At 39.8% G+C, this 22,138-nt stretch overlaps 1 protein-coding gene across 23 annotated transcripts in view, besides 1 other annotated feature; it reads left to right on the top strand.

Annotated features, from left to right (window-relative positions):
• The window catches only part of DCLRE1C (DNA cross-link repair 1C), a 57,074-nt gene that overhangs the window by 27,969 nt on the left and 6,967 nt on the right, over positions 1–22,138 (top strand). For 8 of the 23 annotated variants that reach the window (NM_001289078.2, NM_001289076.2, NM_022487.4 and 5 more), the window contains 3 exons: positions 3,395–3,483; positions 6,632–6,726; positions 17,134–21,851. In NM_001289078.2, the coding sequence (NP_001276007.1) occupies positions 3,395–3,483; positions 6,632–6,726; positions 17,134–18,056 (1,107 nt within the window). In that variant the 3' untranslated portion in view covers positions 18,057–21,851. Of the gene's footprint in view, positions 1–3,394; positions 3,485–6,019; positions 6,085–6,631; positions 6,727–15,133; positions 21,854–22,138 lie in introns of those variants that run through there. The other 15 variants (XM_047425650.1, XM_047425648.1, XM_047425651.1 and 12 more) reach the window with 8 other exon arrangements.
• Positions 21,411–22,111: an enhancer, noted in NCBI's record as "NANOG hESC enhancer chr10:14946352-14947052 (GRCh37/hg19 assembly coordinates)". NCBI's record gives its function as "activates a minimal SCP1, AML or CMV promoter by ChIP-STARR-seq in primed H9 embryonic stem cells {active_cell/tissue: H9 hESC(primed)}" and the evidence as "EXISTENCE:reporter gene assay evidence [ECO:0000049][PMID:30033119]".

Below are 22,138 nucleotides of genomic sequence, written 5' to 3'. Positions count from 1 at the left end.
GCCAGGCTGGTTTTGAACTGACGTCAGGTAATCCGTCTGCCTTGGCCTCCCAAAGTGCTGGGTTACACGTGTAAGTCACTGCACCTGGCTTCATGGATTCTATTTTTATGTGTTGGCCTACTCACTGAAACTGACCTGTGACCTCAGTATCAATATTTACAGTGCTTTTGTGATCCTTTGTGGACTTGTGGAGAGTGGTGAAAATTTTGAATCACCTGACGTGCACGTTCTCGGCTCAGGTAGAACAAGGCAATGCTCTGCCTTCTTTCAGCTCTTACTCTGTCAACAAGTGTATCAGTCTGTTCTCCTGCTGCTCTAAGGACATGCCCGAGATGGGTATGAGGAAGGAAAGAGGTTTAATTGACTCATAGTTCCGCAGGGCTGGGGAGGCCTCAGGGAATTTACAATCATAGCAAACACATCCTTCTTCACATGGCGGCAGCAAGAAGTGCAGAGTGAAAGTGGGGAAAAGCCCCTTATAAAACCATCAGATCTCGTGAGAACTGTCATTAGAACAGTATGGAGGTAGCCACCCCCGTGATTAAATTGCCTCCCACTGGTCCCTCCGACACATGGGGATGATGGAAGCTACAGTTCAAGATGAAATTTGGGTAGGGACGCAGCCAAACCATATCGAAAGTTTCCTTTTTGCCATCTATTAAGTGCCATGTTTTTCATATTTTTGTGCTTTTTGTTGGTGATCTTATTTAAATGGTGACCAGTCATAATACTGAAGTCCTATCGAGTGTTCCTAAGCACGGGAGGACTGTAACGTGGCTTCTAGAGAAAATATGTATGTTAGATAGGCATGGGTTATAGGGCTATTGACCATGAGTTCAATGTTAATGGATCAAAGTGTCTATTAAATAAGGTGTCTTTCAACAGAAACACACATAAAACAAGGTTATGTATTAATTGGCTGGTGAAAACGATGTCACCAAAGGATGGCAGGAACCCTGTATTTTCCCTAGCAGCAATGGCTCAGTATTTGCTAATTCAGCATTTATGGTGACTATAATTTATAGAGTATAACTACTGTGAATAAAGAGAATTGGCGCTATTGATGCCTTATTTTAAGGCAGGCATTTGATAAAAGGGAGTCAACTTATATAAATGAGAGGGGGTGCTCCTTTATTGGGTGTCTCTTATCTCCTTGGGGCCATTTCATCTCTGAGAAGTAGTAGTGAACCATTTCTGGTATAGGCTTGACTTTACTTTTTTTTTTTTTTTTTTTTTTTAAATCCTTTATTCCCTTCAAAAGTCTCAGATTTCTACCAGCCTCAGCTTTGTGCAAATCAAATCGGTGTTGGGCGGGCAGGTAATGATTTCTATTTGCATGCCTCCTGTGAAGGTACAAAAGATACTGTTTGTGAAAACTATTTAAAGAATAGATCTTCCTGCCTTTCCACTGTCTTAAAGTAGCCCTTTTATTTTTATGTAGAGTTATTGGCAATTCTTGGGTTTCTGCCTCTTTCAGTTTGGTGGGATACTAATAATTACATTGGGTTCTAGTCTGTCCATTTGCAGAAGGGCATAAAAGTCTTTGTGTTCTCATTATCAACTTAGTAATGGATGATTTTTTTTTTAATTTTTTAATTTTTATTTATTTATTTTTTTGAGATGGAGTCTCGCTTTATTGCCCAGGCTGGAGTGCAGTGGCGTGATCTCGGCTCACTGCAACCTCCGCCTCCCGGGTTCACACCATTCTCCTGCCTCAACTTCTTGAGTAGCTGGGACTACGGCGCCCACGACCACACCCAGCTAATTTTTTGTATTTTTAGTAGAGACGGGGTTTCACCGTGTTAGCCAGGTTGGTCTCGAACTCCTGACCTTGTGATCCACCCGGCTCGGCCTCCCAAAGTGCTGGAATTACAGGTGTGAGCCACCACGCCTGGCCTGGATGATTTTATTGACTGTTTCACCAGATACCAAGCTAAGCACTTCACATGCATAATCTCATTTATACTTTTAAATGAAGAATCTAAAATTAGAGACATTAGGTAACTTGACTGAGATCACAAGCTCACCAATGTCTAATAAGAGACAAAGCTGAAGTTCCTCTAGGTTGTAGAGATGTTTTGAGGAATAGTGACAGAGTTCCTCTGTTTAGCATTCTGAACTTTGCAAAAAGTCAAGGTATTCATGAAGTTTTTGCATGTAATTGTTTGTTTAGAATTAATCATTGGGAGAGGCAGTCTATGTGCACAGTCTTTCAACCCTCACTGGCCACATAAGAATGGGACACTTCCTTATTGAGAGAGAGCGCACGCGAGTGAGAGAGAGCAAGCACTCCCGTTAGCGTGAGCACACAGCCTGCGGCAGCTCAGTACCTTGTGTGGAAACATCTTTCTCTGCTTCGTACTTGATGTGTGTCCCTTTGTTCTACTTAAGCCTGTGTGTCAATGGCCCTTAGGCACACCCCAGCTGTCCTTATTTCAGACAGCATGATGGGGGTTCCTTCCTGTGTGGCAGGAGAGGGTTGCATGTAGGCAGGTTGCCCTGTGTTGGCTGCAGGGAGAGACACACTGGTCACTGGAGACCAGTGCACATTGTTGGATTTGATCTTGCTTGGTCTTTTCTCAGTAAGTGAAGCATTGCTCCCTCCAGTGCTTGACTGCATTGTGTTTTCCTTGGTGACTCCAACACCAAGGTACAATGGGCAGTGTTTGGATCCTTCCCTGGAATCAGTGACGAATGCATGGTGTTCTGCCCAATGAGAATGAACCATTTGAACAAATCAAGTAACCTCAAAGGTGTAATTCTCTTGGCATCGTTAATGATTATTGGTAGGAGTAAATAAGTGCAATTCTTTTGTTGTTCTTTTTTGGAGATGAGGTGTCTCTGTGTTGCCCAGGCTGGCCTCAAATCCCTGGGCTTAAGCAATCCTCCTGCCTCAGCCTTGAGTAGCTGGGATCACAGACATGTACCACTGTGCCCAGCTAAGAAATGCAATTCTGAGACCTTGGGTTTTTGTGTATATTATAGTTAATGCCCAGCTAAATTCTAACTTATTTGAAAAGGGATTTGTTAAACATAAGCAACTGACCTTCTTGGACAAGGAAAGCAATATATTAAAAAAGAGAAAAAAAAAAGAATCTTTGAGTCCCATTGGTGATTCTCAGCTCTTACTGTGGATCAGAATCACCTGGGGAATATTTAAATGTACTGATTTCTAGGCCCACTAGTACTCAGTGTTCAGGAGATCTTTGGGAGTGAGGCCCAGGCATTGGATATTTTTTTCCCAAGAGGTCCCTGGTGATCCCCACGTGCAGCCAGCATTGAGAACCACAGCCATAAGAGAGTTCTGCTTCTCTTTCCCCAGCCTCCCTTTATCTCCCCTAACAACCTGTTTCATCGTAGAGATTGTTGATCCATGTGATTTTCCTTTTTCTAGATTAAAGATTTCTTGAGCTACCTCTGTCCTGTGAACGCATATCCAAATGTCATTCCAGTTGGCACAACTATGGATAAAGTTGTCGAAATGTGAGTAGTCACTGGTTGTGGGACTTGGTGTCCCCCTTGGTGGCTCTTGGCTAGGACACAAAGGAGAGTTTGCCTGAATGTTTACAAGTCTAGAATCTGTTTGTTTTGGGACATTTCTGAACTGATACTCATTTCCATTTTTTCCTGGAGTGTTTCCTTTAGTTCCACAGTGTGGCAGAAGGTATAGGTAGTGTTGTCAGCTTCTCCTGGGTTGCAACCCAGCTCCGCCACTTACTAACAGTGCAGTGTGAGCTTGGCCAGATCACTTCTCTGAGCTAGTCATTCTGAATCAGCAAAATAGGAATATTGATGCCTACTTGTTGGTCTTCTTAAAAAAGAAAGAGATGATACAGGGAGATAGTGTAAGAAAAGCACCTAGCACCATGCCAAGTAGGTTGTCAAGTGTCTACTGAATGGATAACTGAAGCCAAAGGAGAGGTGCAATCGTATTCATGGATGTCTTTTACTACAGTATTACCATTTTCTTACCTCTTCTTTGGGTTTCATTTATGCATTCATGAATGATTTTTTTTTTTTTTTTAGACAGGGTCTCACTCTGTCACCCAGGCTGGAGTACAGTGGCATGATCTCGGCTCACTGCAACCTCCACCTCCTGGGTTCAAACGATTCTCCTGCCTCAGCCTCCCGAGTAGCTGTGACTACAGGTGCATGCCATCATGCCCGGCTAATTTTTGTATTTTTAGTAGAGACAAGGTTTTGCCATGTTGACCAGGATGGTCTCGAACTCCCGAGCTCAAGTGATCCACCTGTCTCAGCCTCCCAAAGTGTTGGGATTACAGGCATGAGCCACTGCACCCGGCCCATGAATGATTTCTTTAGTGCCAGCCATATGGTGGGAATGGAGCTTGGGTTCCAATTTGCCTAAGACACAGCCTGTCCTAGCAGAGCTCCAGTCTCACGGAGAGGCCGGGTGCAAAGGCAGCACACAAGCTCAATGGGTGCAGAAGGAATGAGGCCCCGTGTCAGGGAATCTGCTTCGCAGACCCCGATGGGGACAGACAGGACCAGGCTTGCAGATGTCGATGGAAAGGAGGATGGAGAATCTCTGGAGAGAGGTCTGGGTTGGAGACACAGAATTGGAGTTGGCAGTGCAGGTGAGAACTAAAACCATGAGAAAAGAAGAAGTCACCAGGAGTGGGAGGAGGGATCATAGAGCTGAGGCCAGAACCCTGGGCAGCACATTCAAGGTAGAAGTGAAGGAGGAGAAGCTGGGCCAAGATGGAGAGAGTGGCCCAGACAGCGGGATGAGAGCAAAGGGAAGGGTAAGCAGAGGGTGCCCATGGAGTGTCTTGAGAAGTCAAATAATATGGGGACTACCAGGTGTCCCGTTTCCTTGGTAATTAGGTCATTTGTGTGTGCTCAGTGAGAGCAATTCAGTAGACTTGTGAGTTACAAGCCAGATTTCAGTCGAGAAATAGGTAAAAAGTGAGGAAATGGAAAATACTGAGGACAGACTATATAAAAAGTTTGACAGTGAAGGGAAAGTTAGAGACAAGATGGCAACAGGAGGCAACAGAATCAGGAGGCTTGATCTTAAAATAGCTGAGACTTAAATATGCCTGTAGAACTAAACTTGAATATACATAAACTTGGATGTGTTTAGGAATCACTTCAGGTGCTTGTTTTTTTTTTCTTTTTTTGAGATGGAGTCTCGCTCTGTCACCCAGGTTGGAGTGCAGTGGCGCGATCTCGGCTCACTACAAGCTCCCCATCCCAGGTTCACACCATTCTCCTGCCTCAGCCTCCCGAGTAGCTGGGACTACAGGCGCCCGCGACCACGCCCGGCTAATTTTTTGTATTTTTAGTAGAGACGGGGTTTCACCATGTTAGCCAGGATGGTCTTGATCTCTTGACCTCTCGTGATCTGCCCACCTAGGCCTCCCCAAGTGCTGGGATTACAGGTGTGAGCCACCGTGCCCAGCCGAGGTGCTTGTTAAAATGCATATTCATTCCTTATCCTGCATCTTTTTTTTTTTTGAGACAGAGTCTGGCTCTGTCACCCAGGCTGGAGTGCAGTGGTGCAACCTCGGCTCACTGCAAACTCCACCTCTTGGGTTCAAGCGATTTTCCTGCCTCAAGCCTTGTGAGTAGTTGTGATTCCAGGCGCCCACCACCACACCTGGCTAATATTTGTATTTTTAATAGAGACGGGGTCTTACCATGTTGGCCAGGCTGGTCTTGAATTCCTGACCTCAAATGATCCACCTGCCTTGGCCTCCCAAAGTGCTGGGATTCCAGGCATGAGCCACCGCACCCGGCCCCCATCCTTCATTTCTAGCAGACAATTCTGTTGTAGGTAGGTGGGGGAAGACAACCTTACTTTGAAAAGTTAACCCAGGAGAATAGCTGAAATGATGTAAAGAGACACAGTAATGGATCAGAACTCCTGGAAAGGTTGAAGGGGATGGATCCAGAGAACAGCTGTGGGAACAGGGGTGAGGACGTAAAATGGGGGTGGCTGTAAAGAAGTTTCAGGTTGGGCACCTCATGGCCCTGTTCAAATGGTATGTTGTAGATCATCCTAAAGGCTTCCCGGAATCTGCCAGGAGGAGGCAGTTGGCAGTGAGGCCTTCGAAAGGGGTAGGACGTCTTCAAATCTTATTTCTCTGCCTTTTTGTATTTTATCTCCACTTTGTCTTAGCTTTCAGCCTAAGGACCTAGAATGACAAGATAAATTTGTGGAGATTCCTGTGAGATATAAGTAAACCCTACTGAACAGGGCAGGAGAAGCAGCTAGTTATATTGTATCCCGAATGCCAGAGGATGTCACTGTATTCATAGGTTTTCAGGATAGGGACCTGCTTTTTTTGCATTCCAAGAGCAAAGATCTAAGTTTTACCTTAGTCTACTGATGTAACAATAAGATAAACATCAACCGGGTTGCATTTAATTGCTTATATTTGCCACTTTATTACATCAAAGTGATTTTTAACTATGAAATCAGTTTAGAACTGCTTTTCAATCCTCCAAAGTAGTTGTGTGATTTCCCTTATGGTCAAGATTTTGTTAAAAACAGGGATCCAAGAAATTAAAAAACAAAATCAAAAAAATTTGTAATACTATCAATGATGTCTACCTTCTAACAACTTCCTCAAAAGGAAAAATCAAATATTCTGATTCATTTCAGCTTAAAGCCTTTATGCCGGTCTTCCCAAAGTACGGAGCCAAAGTATAAACCACTGGGAAAACTGAAGAGAGCTAGAACAGTTCACCGAGACTCAGGTAAGAAAAATGGTCCTGGGTTCAGAGGGGTGGGCTCCCTGCAAACACTGCTTTCCAGGGAGCTTGGGTCTGGGAGAAGTGGCCTTGGGCAGAGTGGACCTGGGACCCACCACAGGTCAGACTTGACACATGGTCTCAGGAAGTACTTTGCCTTCCTGTCTTCAGCCTGTAAAATCAGGAGTCTGCTCTCCTTCTCTGGGTTAAAACAAGTGGTGAAAACGGTGCCATCGTGTGTGGTGTTCTCAGCTTTCTGGAAATACACCCTAAGATCAGTAGAGGCCATAAAGAGAGGCTGGTTTGTTATCCTTGAACATTTTCTTAGGACATAGAGAGGCTGGTTTGTTATCCTTGAACATTTTCTTAAGATACTAGTAAATGCTGATAATAGACTTTTCTCATCATCATTTCTGATCAAGTTGATCAGTAGTGTTTATACAGAAGGATTTTTCTCTATACTTTGTACCTTCTTTCATTGCTACTTTGATTTTTCTAGTGAAGGACAGAGGCAAGCTCTGCAGTAGTAATCAGAACGTTAGATTCTGAGCAAAGCTCTGGGGCTTTCCAGCAGCCCTATTTCGTGGTTAGGATTCTTGATTTTCATTCCTTTGGTGGAAAGTCAGTTACTCTGCCATGCAGTAAATACTTGACCAAAACACACGAGATAATGATGATACTATTTTTTGAACACCTATTAATGGCAGGTATTGTGCTAGGTCCCTTACATATGTTATAGATAAGCCTCTAAACAAACTTACAAGGGGTACCATCCCAATTATAATGATGAGGAAACTGAAGTTTAGAGACTTAAGTCCCTAAGGACTAGCAAGAAGTAAGTGATGGGCCTGGGATTCTAATCTAGGCCTGTCTCATCTCTGCTTCTGCATTTCTGCTCATGGAGAATCTAATTTTAAAACATTTAGATGACAATTCCAAGACTGATATAGTAAGCCTATAACTGGTGCCCAAAAAAAACCACATTTGTTTTTGTTTCAATAATTAAAAGGTTTTAGAAAAACAGTTCCATTAATTTCAGATGTTAACTCTATTATGTAATGCATCCTCTAATCCTTACAAATTTACTAAGGTTTTTTTCTTTTTTTTTTTTTTTAAAAAACAGCTTTCCTGAGGTATAATTGATATAAACTGCACATGTAAGGTGTACAATTTGATAAATTTTTTGTATATGCATATACTTGAGAAACCATGACTACAATTAAGATACTGAAATTATCACCTTCAAGTTTTCTTATGCCCCTTTGTAATTCCCTCCGGTTCTCACCCATGCCAAGGCATCCACTGATCTGCCTTCTGTCACTATAGTTTGCATGTTCTAGAATTTCATATAAATAGAATCATATAGTACGTCTGGGTTATTTTACTCAGTGCATCAGAGATTCATTCATGTTGTTGCATGTATCAATAGTTCACCCTCTTTTATTGATAAGGAGTAGGCCACCTCAGGGATATACTACAAGTTGCTGATCCATTCACCTGTTGATGTATTTTTGGGTTGTTTCCAGTGTCTTTCTTATTAAAAAGAAAGCTGCCATGAACATTCATGTACAAACTTTTGTATGGACGTAGGCTTTCACACCTAAGAATGGGTCATATGGTAGCTGTATCTTTAAGAAACTGCCAAAATGTTTTCCAAAGTGGTTTGACCATTTTGTGTTCCCAGGAGAAGTGTATGAGAGTTCAGTTGCTCCACATCGTTGCCAATACTTGGTATGGTTAGACTTTTTAATTTTAAATATCCTAATAGGTGTGCAGTGATAGCTCTTTGTGGTTTTAATTTGCATTTCTCTAATGACTAGCAAGGTTGTGCATCTTTTAATGTGCGTATTTGCCATCCATGTATCTTCATTGGTGAAGTGTCTATTCAAATCTTTACTCATTTTTAAATTGTTGGGTTTGTTTTGTTTTGAGACAGAGTCTTGCTGTCACCCAGACTGGAGTACAGTGGCACAATCACAGCTCACTGCAACCTCAACCTCCCAAGCTCAAGTGATCCTCCCACTTCAGCCTCCCAAGTAGTACAGGCACATGCCACCATGCCTGGCTAATTTTTATATTTTTTGTAGACATGGAGTTTCACCATGTTGCCCAAGCTGGTCTCGGACTCCTGAGCTCAAGCAATCTGCCTGCCTTGGCCTCCTAAAGTGCTGGAATTACATGCATGAGCCACTGCACCCATCATATTACTAAGTTTTCCTAAGTTTCTGGATACAAGTTTTTTTTGTTTTTTTTTTTTAAATATATCAGGTGTATACAAAGATTTTCTTCTACTCTGTAGGTAATCTTTTCAATCTTTTTAGCAGAGTATTTTGAAGAGCAGAAATTTTAAATTTTAAGTGAACTTATCAATTTTTACTTTTTTTTGTATCATATCTAAGAAATCTTTGACCCAAAGGCATAAATATTTTCTCCTGTTTTCTGCCAGAAGTTGTTACAATTTTAGGTTTTACATTTAGATCTGTGATTCATTTTTGTTTTTAAAAATATGGTTCAAATGTAGATCCCAGGTAATTTTGTGTGTGTGTCTGTATGGATATCCAAATGTTCTTAAACCATTTGTTGGAAACACTATCTTAATTCACTGAATTGCTTTAGCACTTTTCTTGAGAGTCAATTTACAAGATATGTGGAGATTATTTTCTGGATTCTTTCTTATGTTTCATAATCTCTATCTTGACACCAATATCACCCATCTCGATTACTGTAGCTTTGTAAATCTTGAAGTCAGGTGCTTTAAGTTCTCCAGCCTTGTTCATTTTCAAAGTTGTTTTGGTTATCCTAGGTCCTCTGCATTTCCATATGAATTTTAGAATCATACGCCAATTTGTACAAAAATGTCCTCTCCTGAGGTTTTGATGAGGATTGTTTTAAATCTGTTGATCAATTTGGCAAGAACTGGCATCTTAACAATACTGAATTTTCAGATCCATGAACATGGTATACCTCTCAGTTTACTTAAGTCTGCTCTAATTTCTCTCAGCAGTGTTTTATGATTTCCAGCGTATAAGTCTGTGTAAATCAATCCCTAAGTATTTCATTTTGGGGGATACTGTTGCACATGGTATTACTTTTTAAGTTTCAATTCCTGATTGTTGTTAGTATATAGAAATATAGGCTGAGTGTCCCTTATTCAAAATGCTTGGGAGCAGAAGTGTTTTGGATTTTGGACTTCTTTGAATTTTGGAACATTTGCATTTGCATTTAATGGTTGAACCTCTTTAATCAGAAAATCTAAAATGCTGCAATAAGGATTTCCTTTGTAGTTCAGATGTCAGACTTTTGGATTAGGGATATGCAATGCAACCTGTGCAATTGATTTTTGATCTTGTATCCTGCAACCTTGCTAATCTCAAGTATCAGTTCTAGTGCCTTTTCTTGTAGATTCCATTGCGGTTTCTATATAAGATCATCATTGTTTGTGTATATAGACAGTTTTGCTTCTTCCTTTTCAGCCAGGATGTTTTTCTCTTTCTTGTCTAGACTACCACTACAGTGTGAAACAAGTGGCAAGAGTGGGTGTCACTGCCTTGTTCCCAATCTCAAGGAGAAAGCATTCATTGTTTCACCATTAAGTTCATTATTTCACCATTAAGTATAATGATAAGTATAGGCTTTGTGTCAGGCAGAATTACTTCCCTTCTGTTCTTGGTAGGTGGAGAGATATCAACAATGGATAATGGGTTTTGTCTAACGCTTTTTCTGTATTTGTTGAGATGATCATATTGTTTTTCTTTATACTCTGTTAATATGGTGACATACACTGATTTTTGAGTGTTAAACCAAACTTGCATTTCTCTAATCCCACTTAGTCATGGCATATTATCCTTTTTAAGTATTATGGTAAGAATTTTCTCATTTACTTTCAGAAGGGATATTGATCTGGAGTTTTGTCTTTTCCTTGTAATTGTGTGGTTTTGGTATCAGGATACTGCTGGCCTCATTGTTGTGAGGTGTTTATTCTCAGTCTCTGGAAAAATTTTTCGAGGATTGGCATTATATCTTTCTTAAATGACTGGTAGAATTTACCAGTGAAGCCATCTGGGTGGGAAAGGAGTTTTCTTTGTGGGAAGGTTTTTTTTTTTTAACTACAAATGTGATTTCTCTAATAGGCACAGGACTATTCAGGTTATTTTTTTTTTTATTGAGTTAACTTTGGTAACTTGAATCTGTCAAAGAATTTGTCTTATCCATGTTGCTTAATTTTTTGGCATAAACTTGTTCTTAATGTTTATTATTTTACTATCTGTAGAATCTACTGATATTAATCCTCTTGCTCCTGATATTAGTAGTTTGTGTCTTCTCTCATTTTTTTCTTGATTAGTCTAGCTAGAGGTTTACCAGTTTTACTGATCTTCTCAAATAAGAAGTTTTTGGTTTTATTTTCATTTTCTCTCTTTTTTGTTTTTTTGGCACGGGGTAGTTTTCTATTTCATTGAATTCCACTCTGATCTTTATCTGCTTACTTGGAATTTTATTTGCTTTTCATTTTTAAGTTTCTTAATATGGAAGCTGAGGTCGTTGATTTGAGACCTTATTTTCTAATGTAGGCATTTAGTGCTATAATTTTCCCTCTTTAGCAGCATCCCATAAATTTGTCTTGTTTTCATTGTCATTCAAAACATTTTTAAATTTTTCCTTTGACTTTTTTTCTTTGACACATGGGTTATTTAGAAATTTGTTACTAGTTTCTGAATTTTGGAGGACTTCCCAGGGATTATTCTGTTATCTAAATTAATGTTATTGTGGTTAGAGAACATACTTTGTATGATTTTTTTTTTTTTTAATGAGATGGATTCTCTCTGTTCCCCAGGCTGGAGTGCAGTCACACAATCTTGGCTCATTGCAACCTCTGCCTCCCAGGTTCAAGTGATTCTCCTGTGTCAGCATCCGAAGTAGCTGGAATTACAGGCTCACGCCACCATACCTGGCTAATGTTTTGTATTTTTAGTAGCCACAGGGTTTTGCCATGTTGGCCAGGCTGGTCTCAAACTCCTGACCTCAGGTGATCCACCTGCCTCCCAAAATGTTGGGATTACAGGCGTGAGCCACCACACCTGGCCTGGTACTTTTGAAATTTATGGTCCAGAATATTTACGGACCATCAATTGTGGACCAATTTACACATTAAACCTGGTAAATGTTTAATGTGTACTTCAAAGAAATATATGTACTACTGTTGTTGGATGAAGTGTTCTATAAATGTCAACTAGGCTAAGTTAGTTGACAATGTTGTTCAGGTCTTCTACATTCTTGTTCTATCAATTATTGCCAGAGAGGGGTGTTGCAATCTCCAGTTGTAATTGTGGACTTGCCTATTTTGCCTTGATTAGTTCTATTGGCATTTGCTTCATCTATTTGAGGCACTATTAATAGGTATACACAAGTTTAAGATTCTTATATCCTCTTGAGGGATTGATACCTTTATCTTTAGGAAATGAGTCTATCCCCTGGTAACATTCTTAGTTCTACAATCTACTAGAGCCATTTGAATTTCTTCTCATTAATATTGGCTTGATGTATCTTTTTCCATCTCTGTATTTTTAACTAGTCTTTATATTTAAAGTGGGTTTCTTGTAAGCAGTATGTTGTTGGATGTTTTTATGGCCAACCTGGTATTTTCTGGCTTTTAATTGCAGTGCTTAGTCCACTTAGTTTAATGGTACCCATTGATATGGTCAGGTTTAAGTTTATCCTCTTGCTATTTGTTCCATTTGTTCTTTATTCTTTTTTGGCCTTCTTTCAGGTCAAGTAATTACTGACTGATTCTGTTTAATCTCTTGTTGGGTTATTGGCTGTGTAACTCACTGATTTCTTATTTTAGTGGCTTATAATGCAGTCATCCCTTAGTATCCTTGGGGGATTGGTTCCAGGACCCCCCCAAGAGTACCAAAATCTGCAGATGCTCAAGTCATATTAAATGGTGTTACATTTGCATATAACCTACACATATCCTCCCATATACTTAAAATCATCTCTGGATTACTTATACCTAATACAGTGTAAATGCTTGGTAACTAGTTGTTATACTGTATCAATTTTTGTGTTTTTTGTATTTTAATTTTTGCTTTTTTCCAAATATGTTTGATCTGTGGTCAGTCAAATCTACAGATGTGGAACCTGTGGATACAGAGGACTGACCGTATACATCTTTAACATATCAGAGTGAAAAGATAAATGATATATTACTCCAAATATGGTATAGGAATGTTCCAGCAGTATATTTCCATTCCTCTTCTCCCAGTCTGTGCTGTTATTGTCATACATTCTCTGTTATTAACTTTATAAACTCCACAATACAAAATTATTTTTTAAGCTTTATTGAAGTATAATTGATACACCATAAATTCATCCATTATAGGTGAACAATTCCACGACTGTTAGTATAACAGAATTGTACAATCATCCCCACTATCTAATTTTGGAACATTTTTTGTTACCCAAAAAAGAAACTTTATGTCTATTTCCAGTCACTCCCCATTACTATTCCCGGCCTTAGGCCGCAACTAATCTATGGTTTGTCTCTATAGATTTGTGTTTTCTGGACACTTCATATAAGAGAACTCATATGGCCAGGCACAGTGGCTCGCGCCTGTAATCCCAGCACTTTGGGAGGCCAAGGCAGGTGGATCATGAGGTCAGAGAGATCGAGACCATCCTGGCTAACACGGTGAAACCCCGTCTCTACTAAAAACACAAAAAATTAGCCAGGTGTGGTGGCGGGCGCCTGTAGTCCCAGCTATTGGCCAGGCACAGTGGCTCACGCCTGTAATCCCAGCACTTTGGGAGGCCAAGGCGGGTGGATCATGTGGTCAGAGAGATCGAGACCATCCTGGCTAACACGGTGAAACCCCGTCTCTACTAAAAACACAAAAAATTAGCCAGGTGTGGTGGCGGGCACCTGTAGTCCCAGCTATTAGGGCAGCGGAGGCAGAATGGCGTGAACCCAGGAGGCAGAGCTTGCAGTGAGATCACACCACTGCACTCCAGTGTGGGCGACAGAGCGAGACTCTGTCTCAAAAAGAAAAAAAAGAAATTATACACCATGTGCTATTTTGTGCCTGGCTTTTATTTCGCATTATCTTTTCAAGGTACATCTATACTGTGGCATATATCAGTATTTCATACCTTTTTATTGCCAACCAATATTCAATTGTACAGGCATACAACATTTTATTTATCCACTCACCAGCTGATGGACATCTGGGTTGCTTCTCCTTTTTAAATAATAATGCTATGAAAATTTGAGTACAAGTCTTTACGTATCTTTCTGTTGGGTTTTATTTCTTGTGGGGGGTAGAATTTTGGAGTCATATAGTTGGCTTGGGCTGCCCTAAGAAAATAACACATACTAGGTAGCTTAAACAGGAGGCCAGGCATAGTGGCTCACGCCTATAATCCCAGCACTTTGGGAGGCCGAGGCGGATGGATCACCTGAGATCAGGAGTTCAAGACCAACCTGGCCAACATGGTGAAAACTTGTCTCTGCTTAAAAAAAAAGTAAAAATTAGGCTGGGCACAGTGGCTCAAGCCTGTAATTCTAGCACTTAGGCAGATCAAGTCTCCAGCCTTATGATGGTTTAATTATTTCCCTAGAGGTCCATCTCTAGATAACAGCCACACTGGCTTTAGGGCTTCCACATATGAATTTTGACAGGAAGCGTTCAGTTCATAACATATGGTCAATCTGTTTTAACACTCCAAGGAACTGCCAAACATTCCCACACTGAATACATTTTACATTCTCTCCGGCAATATGTAAAGATTCCAGTTCCTTCACATATTAGCCAACACTTCCGTCTTTTTTAGTATAGCCATCCTAGTGTATGGTGGTACCCTGCAGTTTTGATTTGCATTTCTCTAATGACTAATGTTGAGCTTTCTTTCATGTGCTTATTGGCCATTTATGTAACTTCTTCAGTGAAATGTCTATTCTGATCTTTTGCCCCCATTTCAACTGGATTATTGACCTTTGTATTGAGTTGTAAGAGTTAAAGTCTGGTATCAGTCCTTTATCTGACATGATTAGGAAATATTTTCTCAGACTTGTCTTTTCACCTTCTTGATGGTGTCTTGAAGCGTAAAGGTTTTAAGTTAAATTTGTCTATTTTTTTCTTTTATTGCATATGCTTTGGTGTCATATCTAAGAAACTATTTGATCCAAGATCATGAAAATTGACTCCCATGTTACATAATTTTACAGTCAGTTTTGACTGTATCTTCCTGCTTCTTGAATTTCTGATAATTTGTTTTTGAATGCCATACATTCTGAATTTTACCTTTTTAGGTCCTGCATAATTTTGGGATTTCTAAAAACATTCTTGAGCTTTGTTCTGGCATGTGGTTAGCATGTTTATAGTTTGATCTTTTCGTGTCTTTTACCTTTGTTATGCAGGAACAGAGTAGCATTTAGTATATGGTTAATTTTCCCCACTACTGAGGCAAGGCTCTTCTTGGTTCTTTTACAAATGCCCATGGATCATGAGGTTTTCCACTCTGGCTGTTGGGACCAGGACAAGACACTGTTCCTGGCACGGTGAGTTCTGGGCACTTTCTTTCCTTTTGTTTGAGTGATTCGTTGCCTGGCTGCAGGTAGTTTCCTTACAAGCACATGCTGCTTAGTGCACTGAACACGTGGTGGGGACGCCTCTGCAGCTTTTCAGAGTTTCTGTGCAGCACTCTCCTCTCTGGTCTTCTGCTCTGTAAACTCCAGGTACATTTATTTCTTCAATGTTCCACTTCCACCTCACATCAAGGATGTCCATGGGCTCTATCCAGATGTTCCCTCCCTGACTGGAATCTGTTATGAAGCAGGGAGTCAGGCAATCATAGGACTCATCTGTGTCTTATTTCTCATGTCATTGTCCTTAATTGCTCGATGTCCATTTTCTTGAGAGATAGTTTCTGATTTTTCGTTATTTCAAGTGGGAGGTTAAATCTAGTCCGTTACTCCATCTTACCTGGAAGCAAAAGTCCTTTCTTCCTTTAATCTTTTGTGCCTTTTATGCATCTACCCAATCCACACTCCTTTTTGATAAATGTCTTTTGGGATCAGGCATAGTCACTGATTTGGAATGCAGAACTGTTCAACTTAGAGATCATACAAAAATATTTCATAAAAAGGTAATTTTGGGCTAGGCAAAGTGGCTCATGCCTCTAATTCCAGCAATTTGGGAGGCCGAGGGGGTGGATTGCCTGAGTGCAGGAGTTCAAAACCAACCTGGGCAACAAGGGGAAACACTGTCTAAAAAAAATTAGCTGGGCATGGGGGTGGATCTCCTGAGCCTGAGAGGTAGAGGCTGAACTGTGACTGTATAAAACTCAAAAAACAACTTTGGCATAGTAGTGAGGGACCTAAAACATACATATGATCTTTGGCTTAAAATCTACATTCTGCAGTCTAGGATGATTCCAAATACAGTCGTTAGATATCTTAGTGACCTTAAGCCCTAAGTTCAGTTACAAGTCATAACACTGAACCTTTAAGAATGAGGTTGGGTCGTGTGTATTGGCACACCCTTTTCTCTGGGCCTAGCTTCACACGGGGAACATGGGAGCTGGATAATGGTCTCTATGGTCCTTTATATTAGTGTCTTAAAAATGCAGTGTTTAGCCACATCATTTAAGTGGATTATTATAACACCAGATTCAGCAGTAGAACAAGAAGTTGCCATACACAGTAGTCTTGGGTGCATTTAACTTTCTTCCTAGGTTAGATACTGTTACAAGATGGGAAAATATTTGTTTTTCTAAGTAAGGCTTTTTTCATTTTAAGAACATTTGTTGACACAGCATGCTTATTAATGTTTTGAATTTTAAGTTCTTGACACGTTGATTATTCAGTATTTTGCTTTAAAGTTGATTTAACCTGTTGCAACCTTGTGCATAAAACATGTCAATAAGATGCTCACAGAAGAAAAACCTTAATAAAAAGCAATTTAATTTTCCTAAGTCAGCCAACCCACTGAGCATCTACTATTTGCAGAGCACACAGGCTTTGCAAACCTGGCTGAACAGATATCAGCTGTAGAACTTAAAAATCAAATTATTTGGTCCTATCTTCCTCAGGGATTCAGTAGGTCTGGAATGAGATACAGAAACCTGTTTTTTTTTTTTTTCTTTTTTTGAAGTTTTGCATATGATCGTAATGATCAGCCAGGCTTACATATAGAGCAGAGTGACTGCTCTATATTCTCCACTGATACTCTGGCATTTATTATAAAAAGTTGAAGGATGGCAGTTAAATTGTTCAGCATATCCCAAGAATATCTTTTCCCTTTGAAGAAGAGTGGCCTCCCTATTCTTTGCAATTCCAAGAATTAAAAGTACAGATAAATACTACAAATTGGCTCCCTTTGCCTTGTTTCCTATAAACCTGTTTTGTTTGTCCCACAGAGGAGGAAGATGACTATCTCTTTGATGATCCTCTGCCAATACCTTTAAGGCACAAAGTTCCATACCCGGAAACTTTTCACCCTGAGGTATTTTCAATGACTGCAGTATCAGAAAAGCAGCCTGAAAAACTGAGACAAACCCCAGGATGCTGCAGAGCAGAGTGTATGCAGAGCTCTCGTTTCACAAACTTTGTAGATTGTGAAGAATCCAACAGTGAAAGTGAAGAAGAAGTAGGAATCCCAGCTTCACTGCAAGGAGATCTGGGCTCTGTACTTCACCTGCAAAAGGCTGATGGGGATGTACCCCAGTGGGAAGTATTCTTTAAAAGAAATGATGAAATCACAGATGAGAGTTTGGAAAACTTCCCTTCCTCCACAGTGGCAGGGGGATCTCAGTCACCAAAGCTTTTCAGTGACTCTGATGGAGAATCAACTCACATCTCCTCCCAGAATTCTTCCCAGTCAACACACATAACAGAACAAGGAAGTCAAGGCTGGGACAGCCAATCTGATACTGTTTTGTTATCTTCCCAAGAGAGAAACAGTGGGGATATTACTTCCTTGGACAAAGCTGACTACAGACCAACAATCAAAGAGAATATTCCTGCCTCTCTCATGGAACAAAATGTAATTTGCCCAAAGGATACTTACTCTGATTTGAAAAGCAGAGATAAAGATGTGACAATAGTTCCTAGTACTGGAGAACCAACTACTCTAAGCAGTGAGACACATATACCCGAGGAAAAAAGTTTGCTAAATCTTAGCACAAATGCAGATTCCCAGAGCTCTTCTGATTTTGAAGTTCCCTCAACTCCAGAAGCTGAGTTACCTAAACGAGAGCATTTACAATATTTATATGAGAAGCTGGCAACTGGTGAGAGTATAGCAGTCAAAAAAAGAAAATGCTCACTCTTAGATACCTAAGAATTCAAAGCGTTTCAACCTAGAGCAACCACTAAAAAACCTGCACAGAGATGACAGTCAATATTACAATAGAGAAAATACAGTACTTAAAAATGTTCAAATAACCTGGTTGGGTGTGGTGGCTCACACTTGTAATCCCAGCACTTTGAGGTGGGCAATGGCTTGAGCCCAGGAGTTCGACACCAGCCTGGCCAACACAGTGAAATGTGTCTCTACTTACAAAAAAAAAAAAAAAAAAAAAAGCCAGGCATGGTGGTGGGCTACTCTGGAGGCCCTTGAGGATCACTTGAGCCCAGGAGATTGAGGCTGCAGTGAGCCATGACTGTGCCACTGCACCTCTAGTCTGGGTGACAGAGCAAGACCCTGTTTAAAAAAGAAAAAGGCCAGGCACGGTGGCTCATGCCTGTAATCCCAGCTACGCAGGAGGCCAAGGCAGGAGAATCACTTGAACCTGGGAGGTGGTGGTTGCAGTGAGCTGAGATTGTGTCATTGCACTCCAGCCTGGGCAACAAGAGCAAAACTCTGTCTCAAAAAAAAAAAAAAAAAAAAAGAAAAAAAAATGGTAGAACTAAACCCATACGTATCAATGATTACATTAAATGTAAATGGTCTAAGTGCATCAATGACAAGAGACACGGAAAAAACCAACATAACCCAGTGATCTGCTGTCTATAAAGAAAGTCAATTCAAGTGATTGATAGGTTAAAAGGATGGAAAAACCATGTAAACAATTAAAAATGGAGTGGTTATATGGACAGTTTCCTAATGATAAAAGGTCTAGTTCACCAAGAAGACAAAATAATCCTAAACGTATATGCACCTAACAGCTCCAAAAATTTATGAAGCTAGAACAGCTGAAAAGAGACAAACTAATGCACAATTACAGCTAGGGATTAATTTAACATCCCTCCTTAGTAACAGAACTAGTATATACACATTAATCAGTAAGAATATAGAACTGAAAATCATAAGCCGACTGGATTAAATTGACATTTATAGAACACACCACCCCAAACTAGCAGAATGTATCTCCTGAAGTACACATGGAACATTCAGCATGATCATATCTTTGCTCATAAACACACCTGATTTAAATTGACAAACTTGGATCTAGTATGATAAACTGATGGCTATAGACAAAATCAGCACCTTATTTATCCCCAAAGATGTTAAGTCACTTAACCTTGATGTGAATACGGTGGCCAAATTAGAAGCGGACAATTAGAATATAAAAGAAAATGCTCAAGAATTAAATGGTGGCCAGGCACAGTAACTCCTGCCTGCAATCCCAGTACTTTGGGAGGCTCGCTTGAGCTCAGGGTTTTGAGTCCAGCCTGGGCAACACACAGGGAGACCCTGTCTCCACAAAATGTTAGCCAGACATGGTGGTGTGCACCTGTAGTCCTCGCTACTTGGAAGGCTTAGGTGGCAGGATGGATTGAGCCCAGGAGGTTGAAACTGCAGTGAGCTGATTGTGCCCAGCCTGGGCAACAAAGCAAGACCCCATCTCAAGAAAAATAAATTAAAAAAAACTAAAGTATATGTGTTATTCTGTGAGTCATTCAACATTCTTGAAGTCCATCAATGTGTTAGGCTTTTGTGTTATGTATGAGGATTTTTAACAAGTTTTAACAGATATTCAGGAACACTTAGTTATTGTGACATTTCATAGATTATGGAAGCAAAAGCAGAGACACCACTTAAAACAATTTGCAGATCAGTTAAACTAACACTTGATATGCATTATCATGATGCTGCATGGCAATCCGACCAAAAAGTATTGGATCCACCAGACTAACCAGGGTAACAAGACTCAGAGTTAGTATACACATAACTATACACATTTGTATATATTCACTGTTAACTAAAACTTAGTTTTAACAGTGTACCTTATGATCGAAAGTGGTTGTTCAAAAAATGCCTGTAAACATTCCTCTGAATATATTCCTGTTATTTTATAATCACATTAATATTACATACTGTTACGTTTGTTTTATATGTGAGTCTGGCATTATAAATGCTGGCTGAATGAATTGGGCTAAGACAACTACAACAGATGTGATCAAGAAACCGATAGTGATTACCAGAAATTATATTTGGTGCTTACTCTGATGATGCTCTTAAGTTTTTTACAGACTATATGAACTCCTTTAATTTTCACAACCACCCTTTGAGGTAGATACATTTCTAATCCCCATGTACAAATGAGACAAAGGCACAGAGGTTAGTTCACATAGCTATGAGGCACAGGCAGAATTCAAACACAGGCAGTTTGGCTTCAGAGACCATGATCTTAACTGCTATGCTCTGATGTCTCTCCAAAAAAGTATAAACATGAGCAGGGTTAATTGTAGCAGCTACTTGGTTTTTACGTCAAGAATCATAAACCACAAGAGGAAACATGAAGTTTTTGTTTTTTACTTTTCAAGATGGAGTCTCGCTCTGTCACTCAGGCTGGAATGCAGTGGCCCTATCTCAGCTCACTGCAACCTCAGCCTCCAGGGTTCAAGTGATTTTCCTGCCTCAGCCTCCCAAGTAGCTGGGATTACAGGTGTGTGCCACACCTGGCTAATTTTTGTATTTTTAGTAGAGACAGGGTTTCACCATATTGGTCAGACTGGTCTTGAACTCCTGACCTCTGGTGATCCACTCGCCTCGGCCTCCCAAAGTGCTGGGATTACAGGCGTCAGCTACCGTGTCCAGCCGAAACATGAAGTTTCAAAATGCCAAGATGTATCACAGAAGACACTCAGCAGTCAGCCACATTTATCTTGGAGAAGAGTTCCAGGACTTAAATGTTTGAATAGTATAAACTAGTTTTTTAAAAAGTCTGCCTGAAGCCGAAGATTAAATACTTTAAAAAGTTCACTGGGTGATCTTGGCATGTTGACATTATCTTAACAGTCTAAGCTTGTTACCTTACACCAACCTGACAGGTTCATTAGAAGCACATGAATACATATAAAAGGCATAAAAGACTGGGTCAATGAATATGAGCTCTGAATTCTAAAATTCCTTTGCATTTCTAGGCAGTACTTACCATAGTATGTTTACGTACCTGGTGAGTGACAATGCTCAAAAATTTCTGAAGTATTCATCCACATTATGCTAGCGAAATGTCAAATTGTCCTTTAATATTCAAATGCATGAACCATCACTCCTTGGCCTTTTGGCCAAGATCAAGTGTAGTATCAAATGCATGAACCATGAAAGCTATCTTAAAAGGAAAGTAACATTTAAAGGAATTGAATATAAACCTTCGGTTAATCTTGCTAGCACGTAGTCAATACATCAGTATTTTTCTGCCCCTTTTATAGTCTTACTGGAAATGACTGTAAAACAGAAACAAAGCTAAGCCATGGTAAATAGAACATTAAATGCCCAACCTAATTTATTTTGCTAAGAGAAACTGATGAACTAAAAGAGAAACAACTATTGTCTACATTTTAGATATGGGGGAAAAAACCCTGAGATTACTAATTATGTATCACCATCCTCTTAATGTAGATCCTGAAAATGATGGTATCAATATAATACATACAGTGGATTCACCTTTTAAACTGGATCTATTACCTTTGATATTTGTCTTACACTGAAAAATTCTGACATCTTCAGGAAACCAATATGATGGATAAGCTAAATGTTGACTTAAAATAGTTAAACCCCTTAATAACATCCTTTAGTTTCTATTATTTCACTGCTTAAGTTCAGCATCTGAATAACAAAGGTAACATAAGTAGTACTTAAGATCCCAAAGGCCCATTACATTCTATCAATAAAGACAAAACAAAACTACATGTTTACTGAAAATAGTCTTTTTTTCTTTGCTTTCCAGTTTTACACTTTTGTTGAACACAAAAAAGTGGACAAGATCAAATAACTAGATGGTAAAACACTGATTTTTTAAAAATCACATCTTTAAACCCGTGAGAATCACAATTCAAAGTATGGCCACTGGGGGCAACCTGTAAACCTACAACCTTTTCTTAACACTGACACTATGTGACTGATTTTTCTTAAAACACAAATGCCATTAAGAAAGTATTTTTTGTTGACACATTCTGCAAAAAAAAAAAAAAAAA

The sequence above is a fragment of the Homo sapiens genome, chromosome 10 (assembly GCF_000001405.40).
Source record: "Homo sapiens chromosome 10, GRCh38.p14 Primary Assembly".
Lineage (NCBI taxonomy): Eukaryota > Metazoa > Chordata > Mammalia > Primates > Hominidae > Homo > Homo sapiens.
The sequence above is the reverse complement of the archived record's forward strand: the minus strand, read 5'-3'. Positions and strand labels throughout refer to the sequence as shown.